The 9,471-nt window shown below is 42.1% G+C and overlaps 1 long non-coding RNA gene across 1 annotated transcript; it reads left to right on the forward strand.

The window, feature by feature from the left end:
- The first annotated feature begins 1,498 nt into the window (after nucleotides 1-1,498).
- On the forward strand, nucleotides 1,499-8,709 carry LOC105372029 (uncharacterized). The gene is made up of 3 exons (XR_935298.2): nucleotides 1,499-1,655; nucleotides 6,022-6,300; nucleotides 8,362-8,709. It is a non-coding gene; the product is annotated as an uncharacterized LOC105372029 (long non-coding RNA).
- The last annotated feature ends 762 nt before the right edge of the window (nucleotides 8,710-9,471 follow it).

Below are 9,471 nucleotides of genomic sequence, written 5' to 3' on the forward strand. Positions count from 1 at the left end.
GTCCCTAGATTTCTCTGTCATTTCTGGCACCTGGCATTCCTTCCTTGGAGGTTTTCAATTGTGGACTGTAATACTTCCAGAATAATGAGAATTTCGATTCCACAAATCACCCAAAGCCAAACATCAGTTTCTTTGGCCAGTAAAGCATGCCCGGTTCGCTGATGGCTTTCAGAGGGGCTGACAAAAAGCCTTAGATAATGCACTGAGTATGGTACTGTTTAAGGCCATCGCAGTGTGCTGTAATTATTGTGGCAGGCTCCTTCCTGTCTAGAATAACTCCCCGAACAGTCGGTAGTGTGTCTTGGGGTTGACAGGTGGCTAGATTCCCCTCTGTGTTAGTGACTATGTTAGATGTTGCCAGGAGAATTTAAAGCAACATACACAGCATCTTAGCACTTGAATTGTTCTGATTTTCCCCTCAGCTCTGTGCAATATGCATTTCTTAGACACATGCAAGAGAAAAGCCTCCTTTCCCCTTTTTTTCCTGAGAGCCCTCCTCACCAAGGCACATCCTCCAATTTGCTGGCTGCCCCCAGGAGCCATCCTCACTGTGTCCCCCGACATTCCTGTGCCCATGTTTTATGCAAAGATGTGAGCAGCTGGCCACCAAACCCCTGAGAGTCTGGGTCTTTTGTGTTCCAAAGCCTCTTCTCTGCCTTCTTTTCCCTCCCCTCCTGGCTTCCAGGCCATGTGATCTTTCCCTCACCACTCCCCTGTGTCAGTATTCACTGGATATAGTCTGTGTGCTTTACATGCCAGGCAGCAGTGCTGAGGAATGCTGAACTTTCCTAAAACGTGGTTGATAAACACAGGGAGTGGTGTCACAGAATGTCTCATACTTAATAGGTCCTCTTGGCTGAGGCTTTGTTAAAACCTTCTGAAGAAGTGCCATATTACCAGGCAGAAATCTAAAGAGCCACTCCAGCATAGTGGACGGAATACAGGGGTTGAAAGACAGTGCCTGTCATGAGGCTTAATTCAAATACTGTATATAAAATTCTAAAATTTGACTGCTTAGGTTTTAATCCCAGTTCTGTCACTTACTATCTTGTGACCTTGGTCAAGGTCACTTGTCCTCAGATGTTTCATCAGCAAGTAGAACTACTCTGTAATAATAGTTCCCACACCAGGCTTGTGATAAAGATTTAGTGAATTTATATATATATAAATATATGGTGAATTTATATATATATATGTGTGTGTGTGTGTGTATATATATATATATATATATATATACACACACACACACATTTAAAAAATGTCTAGCATGTCATAGGTGCATAATAAATGCTCAAGAAAAGGTAGTTAAAATAGTAGTAATAATATAATTATTTTTATCGTTAGGCACCTCAACAATTTACCAGCTCCTATATATAACTTAATGACTTTAGTGGTCTAGGATAGCTCATAAATTTGTAGACATAGAGAACAAATTAAAGTTCCAGTCCATGTTCTAGGTCTCATTGTGACACAGTTCCTGGTGGGAGGGACCCTTGTGTTGACTGGTCATGCCATTTGACCAAGATGCTGTATTATCTCACTCCCTGAAAACAAAGGCATAGAATTCAAGATTCAGAGTGTGGCTAATATGAAGCATGGAGGTCTTCCTTCTGCCCTGATCATAGGGAAATTAAAGCAGGAAGATAGACTTGCTGGTAAGTTTAAATAATCCTGAGGCACAGAGGAAAACATAGCCTCTATATCTGTGCCTAAAGTCATCCAATACCTTCCTGTTTTGAGCAAATTCAGGAAAAATAAAAGGGCCACTCTGAAAGCCAGAAATACAGTCTTTTAAAAAAACAAAAGCGGGCCCAGATGTGTGTGTTGCCTCATACCTATAATCTCAGCACTTTGTGGGGGTCGAGGTGGGAGGATCGCCTGAGGCCCGGAGTTCAAGACCAGCCTGGGCAACATAACAAGACCCCATCTCCACAATAAATTTTAAAAAATTAGCCAGGTGTGATGGCATGCACCTATTGTCCCAGCCATTCAGGAGGCTGAGGTGGGGGGATCTTCTGAGCCCAGGAGTTCAAGGATGTAGTGAGCTATGATTGTGCCACTGCACTCCAGCCTGGGTGACAGAGCAAGACTCCATCTCAATTAAAAATAATCTTAATTTTTTTAACTTAAATTTAAAAAAACAAAGTAGGGGTTAATTTACTGCTCATTCAGTAGGAAGTCAGCCTTCTAGAGGTGTTGGACAATGGTAGGAAAGCCTCCAAAATTGAAAGAGGCAGTTGGAAGGGGTTAGGCATGGAGAAACATTTCTAGAAGCCTGTCTTCCCATACCTTGGACAGCGAAGCCGACTTGTTGTCCAAGCCCTCTTTGCCTTGTGCCCATTTAGGGAACTGTACTCTTTACTGCCATTGGCGCTCATTGCAACAACTGCTCTCATGAACGAAGAGGCAGGACTGGCTTTGTGCAGGACTCAGGCCTCCAGAGTGGGGCATAGTCAAAGTTAGTGTTCCTCTTTGGAAAGAGGGGTGATGTTCATCAGAATGGAATCTGCCTCAAAGAGAAGTTCGTGTGGCTCAGTTCAAGGGCTGGCTGAGAATCGAGCTGCCTCTGATTTCATCTGACCCTGAGAGAGAAGATAGAGATGCACTCCTGTCTCCTATTTATCATTCTCAATGGGAACTGTGTGGGCAGCTTCCATTACGCCAGGCCAAATTTAGACGAATGAAAAGGTCGACTAAGTAATTATTGATTTTATATGTGTGCATAAATTAGAGCATGGAGTCCTTTAGTCACTGCTAAAAATAAGCCTTCTATGGATTGGGTTTGGGAGACAGAGGGCCGATGTAACAAGGATAAAGCAATAGCTCTGGTGGTAAATCTGTACGTTAGATAACTATTTCCTTATGGTTGTCGTGATAGTTCAGGATGTAAAAAACATCAGCCAGTGGAGCATGTTGGATATCGGTGAGAGGATTGGACGAGGCAAACCAGAACCGTTCTTTCTCTTTAATCATAAAAATGATATTGGCCATAATCCTTTTAGCAACACGCTTCTCTCAAGCAGCAGAGACTTATGAATGCTATTCTGAGGAGAACTAGTCAATATATTAGTTTTCTTTTAATTATGCAGCTGCAGCAGCAAGTTGTGCATGAGTTTTATGGAGCTTTGCAAATTTGCCATCGGTTCTGGGAAGTAGAGAATTTATTTGTATACTGTGGAGCAATTTGCTCTGGTTAGAGGAGAGAAACCATACCCTTCCATCTTAAAAATGAAGAGCTGGTATTTGAGTGGGAAATTCCAAGAATCTAATAATCAAATCAGCCAAGGCTGTTAATTAAAACTGATGAGTATTTAGCATTTATGTAACACTCTAGAATCTTGTACTGCTGGAAAATTACCAATTGCCTGAAGTTTGCAACTGTTAACATGCTTATAAGGGGAGAACATTCTGGTGATAAAAGAAGAAAGTATTTTGTTATCAAACATGGTACACTTGTGTGAATATGGCTTTACAAGTTTTAGAGATAAGTCTAGCTAAATTTTACAAGTATCTGAACTCTGTTTGGATTTCAGTGGTTCAAAGTCAATTTAGGCATTATATGTGCATCTTAAATTCTAGGTTACAGTAATTCTCTCTTCTTCTTGGTTAGTAGTTCCTGTGATACAGAGAAGCAAAAATTGTCTTGTTCAAGCTCAACTTGTTATTCCTTAGAAGTAGCCTCAAGGGGGAGTAGATTGCTACACTCTGCTGATCTAATGGGCCACAGTAGCTCCCAAATTGAAGAAATGAGGATTGGCATGTCAAGGAAGAGGGGTAGCTGAAAGACGGCGGTGGCCTGTGAATGGAAATTATAACCTCCAGACCCACATGACCCTCAAAAGTAGGTCAGCTCTGCTGTAGGCTCCAGTCCCCATCCTGATCAGCACTAAGTCAGTCTTGCTACTCATCCAGGTGTGACCTTGACCTTGCACTCCAGTTTTCATAAAGGGGCTTGTCCCTTGAGCAGAATATCTGGTCTCTACTTTGTATCCTCATCCTGGTATCTGTGTCCTTGTCCTGCCCCTTGTGGGTAATCTATCTAATGCCCTAGTCCGTTTAGAATTGTCTTCATTGCCAGTTCTTTACCCAAAATCTAAAGGTCTACAGCCTTCCCTGTCTCTTAACTCCTGCTGGACTAGATATTACTGGCTTCTAGAATCTTCAGGTTATCCTTTGAATGGATTGGGATACCCTCTGCTCCCTGGGGTTGGCCATCTCTTCCCTCCCCCTACTTCATGCCAACTAGCAGCCTGGACAGATGTTTATTATCATACACTTTCCAAAGTGCATGTCCAATGTCCAGCAGAATGCCTAGTTCATACTAGGCATTCAACAAATTAGTGAATTCATTCAAATAAATAAATTTATTCTCCCTGCTGGCCAGGCCTTCCTTCCAGTATTTTCTGGCAAGGTCCATCATCTCAGAGGTTTCTAGATCTCAGCTCACTCCAGTTTGCCCAGGTTGTCTTGCCCTACCATGAGCTGGGACACAGCACCAAGATATCACACATCTTAGGTAAATTGGTGTCATTGGCAAGATGTGTCCTCAGTTCCTCGTTTTTCTCTCCAGGCTCTTTTTTTTTTTTTTTTTTTTTTTTGGCTTTCTCTAGTTACATCTTCTCCATTTCCTCCTAGTTCTCCCTCAGAAACTCCAGGATAAATTTTATTTGATGAAATCAATTCATACCAAAGTGCTGATAACTAACAATTTTGGGCAGTTAAGCCAGTAAACTTCAAGGTATAGCCCTGGGTGGTAGTTAGTGAGCCAAGAGGAAGCTCAACCTTGGAATTATAGGAATGATTTTAGAAACGGGATATTTAGCCTAGAGAAGAAGCATTGTAGGAAGGTCACAGCAGCTATTTTCAAATATATATATCTTTCCAATGTGTGAAAGGCAGAATACATCTATATTGTGCAAACAAGAATGGATGATGATCTGTCCTGAGGGTAGTGAGTGCACTGTTCCTGGAAGTTGAGCCTAGTGCTCCTTCAGACCCAGCCGAGAAAGCCTGGTCCTGGGTGACAGTGTGGGATAGCGACGTGGTGGATTCCTCGTTCTTGATCCTTCTCACCTCATGTAGGAGTATAAACCCAGGCTGAATGGCACCAAAAGCATTTTCCCAGCTGGGTCTTATCCTCACAATTCTGCAGCTAGTTCCCATTTCTCCTGTCCAAATGGTGTTCCTACATGCTTGCTTCTATGACAGATGGAATGTCGTGAACATTGTGGTTGCCTCTCTTGTCCAGTTATAATAATCCCGTTCTCCTGGTCAAAAATTGGTTTAAAAAATTATGTGGCGCAATCCTGGCCAATGCATTTGAGAGAAGTCTTTTAGGTTAGGGATAGTGGTCCTGGGAAGGGTTTCCTTTCTTCCAAGAAAGGAAGACAGGGTCTACCTCATTCCCCCTAGAAGTGGTTGTGTCAGTTTGTAATGCCTGAACTTCAGCAACAATCTTTCCCTGGCCTGATGTAGAAGCCAGAGCCATGGATTCTTCACGATGAGATTCAGGAAGCTTCTTTAACTCCTTTGAAAATCATGAAAGATTTTCAAAGAATCTTTGTGAGAAGAATCAAGTACAACTTCTAATTAGATTGGTTCAAACCATACTGTGTCTGGTCTTGTGTTTTCTAGAAAGATGGTATCATTTTCTTTGTTCTTCCCCGTGGGGGAAACCAGGAAAATATTATAATTTTCATGTTGAAGTTAGTGTACCATAGTTGTAATATGTATCTTCAGTAGCTTTCTTTTAATCAGTACTTAGATTAAAACAAAACTGAGTCTAGTTAATCACCGAATGTAAAGCAGCCCATCATGAAGACATGGCCACACAGAGTGTGCCACACACAGTGGCCATGGCCAGCTGATTTTTCTATGTGACAGAGATGGAGCTTAAGATAGTTATCCTTTGAATGGATCGGTATACTCTGTGTTTCCTGGGTTGGCCATCTCTTCTCCCAACCCCCACTTTCATGCCAACTAGTCACCTGGACAGACATTTACTATCATGCATTTTCCAAGGTGCATATCCAACATTCTCTTCACTCCCAAATCCTGGGGACAGGAAGAAACTGTTGAACATTTTGAATCACCGAATCAAATGTGACAAAATCTCTGCTAAGGTTTGGCTAAGAATGTAGAATGTGAATTAGAAGATGGATTTGAAAGTACCTTGCAAATTACAATGTGCTGGACACACAGAAGGCATCATTGTTGGGAGTGTTGCTTCCTGGAATAGTAAAAGCAGCCCCGATTTAAGGAAGGCATCTAGAATCATCTGTTTTCTAGCTGACTACTCAGGTAAGTACTTACGGGGCTTCCTCTTTGACAAGAAAATCAGATGGTTTATCTGAATTAGTAAAGGGCTACCGGGAAGGTAGGTGGCTCGGCTCTCACATCAGGAGTGGGTTGAAGTTATTGGCTGCTGCTACATCTTTATACACAGCTCACAATCCCATTGCAGCATGTCACATCTGATATGGGATAATGCAATGTGACTAATGTAATCAGATGTGAAGTGCACTACAGCAACATGTCAAGTTGGAAAATTTGAAAAGAGAAATAGGCTTCTCTCTAAATCATGGTTGGGTTCTTTTTCTCAGCTGGAGGGCTCTGTTTTCAGACAGGAGAGTTTTCTGTGGTGACCTTCTGGCCAAGGGCACATGTCAGGAGGGCCAGCCTTTCCCGAAGGTGGTGACCCTGGGCACATGAACTGGAGCATCATGGATTGACCCCCACCTGCCTTTCAAACCAACATACGTCACCTCTTTCCACAACAAGGCATTCACTCCAGAGGTGTATGCTGCAAAGCTCTGATTGCTCAGAAAATGAAAGGTAGTCTATCAATTTCACAAAGATTTAGGAATTGTATGCCTGGAAACTAATCAGGTTTCAAAGGAGGAATTTTAAGGACCTGAAACGGTTGAGTAAAGGCAATGTCATTCAAGTATGTGTACAGTTTTCCAAAATAATAAGTAATATGGATACATAATTTTTGGTATATTTGTAAAATGATCTGTCAACTTTCTTTATAAGCTTCCTGTACATAGTGGGGTGGGTGATCTTTATGACCCTGTCTCATTGACAAGTATGAGTTACGGGAAAGGACTCTGTGGCTTGGTTTAGTGGAGACATCCAGTCTCTTCTTCCCCAGATGAGGCATAGTGCTTGTGCTCTCTCTCTCTCTCTCTCTCTCCTCATTCCCACCCCTCTCCCTCTTTGAAGCCACATTTACATTTCTAAGATGTATATAAGGGTTAAGGAGCAAAGAGAAGCTCAGAGACAATGGCTCAGTCAATTCTAACAAATACAATGTCTTCATCAGTGGTGTAAAATGGAACTCCTCTGTGTGAGGCAGGTGCAGGGAGGGTGCCAGGCCCCACCTACCACCCTACCAATCCCAGCTTGCAAACCACTGCCCTAGGGCATAGGATCAGAGACTGCAGAAGTTTCATGGTGAAAGTTCATTTCACTCTCTCATGGCACAGTTGGGAAATGAGCCCAGAGAAGGCTGAAAGTGTCCTAAGATCACCAGGCTTTGCTGGGAATAGAACTTGGCCATCCCATCCTCCCAGACCAGCACTGTTTTCACTGTGCTGTGGATACTTAAGCTCTCTCTCACCATCCCTTTTTGTGCAGATCTGCTTTTATAGTGGGCCCAGGAGGCAGCAGGACAAAGCCACTTCCTTCCATGGACTCATCCCTCTCTCCACTCCCTCCCTTATATTTGCATCCTGTCCATCAGAGGGCACAGTTGCCCTGATGAAGGCACAATCAAGATGGGAAACAAGAATTTTGTCAGCCACTTCCATGGACCCCCTATTTTGCTGCACAGTTCCTCTTTCATGCCTCTTACCCTGCTGTGCTCTCTCTGTCCGTCAGACTCTGCCTGCCTTCCCCAAGTCCTTTCCTCCATAGAGCTGTACCCTACTCCCACTGCAGTCCTTCCATATCTTAGCCCCTGCCTGCCTTTACCTTGGCCTCCCCTACCCCTCCATTAAATCCTACCTCTCCCGTGTACCATTTTATTGGAGCCTGCCCTTTGCTCAGTGATAGCTGGCTAATATGAGAAACTAATCTGTTTTAATGTTTTAATGTGTTACCACTCGCTAGCCTCTGCTAGCAACTTAATGAGATTTTGAGTTTTGCTTGTCTCATCACAGGTCCTCTATTCAATTATAAACTCGGTGAGGGGGAAGTGCCATTTGCTATTTCTTCCTTAACTCCCATAGCAGCCACAGAGTGCTGGACTCGGAGTACTCTACATTGACGTTGTTGAATGAATTAAAGGAAGGGGGAAGTAGGTGGCTAGACCTGAGTGGAGAGAAGGTAAACAAATACTATGACACAGTTGTTTTTCAGGTAATGCCAGTAAAATAGATTGGCAAGAGAAACTGGCAAGTCCTTCCTAAAAAGAAGTTTCAAAATAACCAGAGAGCATGCATGAACTCAACTCAATCTTCAATAAAGTTTGCTTTAACTAAACAGCAGCAACAAAACCAATAATACTATACATTAATTATTTGGCTAAAAACCGGTCCTGAGATCAAAGGTTTCTGGTGTGTGTTCCATCTTTAAGAGTCCAAAGCAAAAATGCAGACAAAATGTATGTGTCATTAACCCCCATGGGTACTGCAGAAATGCATTACCTGCAGGTTTGGTGAATGTAGTTTCTTGCAAGTTGAAATACAGGGAATGAAGAATCCAGCATGGCACTGCCCAGTAGAACTCTCTGTGCTGGAAATGTTTCTGTCCCTGCCCTGTTCAAGACAGTAGCCACAGGGCACTTGAAATGTAGCTAGCAGGACTGAAAATTTAAATTTTTTCACTTTCATTTAATTTTACTTTACAAAGTTAAAAAACAACTTCATATTTAAATAGCCTTACATCATTTAAATAACCTTCTTACTTGAAGTGTTCTCCAAAGATTGGGAATTCTGGGATAATAATAATTATGTGATTTTTAGACAATAATAATTATATTATTTTGAATAATTTTTTTATTACATGACAGAATAATATCTACTATTAAAGATGCGGAATCTCAAGATCCATCCATGAGCTACTGAATCTTCAGTTTAATAATGTTCCAGGTGATTCCTAAACACCTTAAAGTTTGAGATGTCCTTCTCCAGATCAATGGATCTCATCCCCATTCGAATCACCTGGAGAACTAGAATCACCTGGATGGTTTTAAAACAGTTCTGATGCCTGGTCTCCACCATGGGCCAACTGAATCAGAAATCAGCTTGGCCACCCACTAGTCTGAGGAAGGAATTCTCCTTAGAATTTGTTTAAGAAACTTAAAAAGGTTGGAGTATATATGCAATAAGGAAATGAAAAGGATTGAATGACACTTAAAAATGTAGACAATTTTACATCAAAGAGCCACAAGTATGCATGTTAGTCTCAAATAGTGTACTCAGAAAAGAGGAACACAGCTGTCATATTGAAAATATTCTCTTTACCCAT

This window comes from Homo sapiens, chromosome 18, assembly GCF_000001405.40.
Source record: "Homo sapiens chromosome 18, GRCh38.p14 Primary Assembly".
NCBI classification, from domain to species: domain Eukaryota; kingdom Metazoa; phylum Chordata; class Mammalia; order Primates; family Hominidae; genus Homo; species Homo sapiens.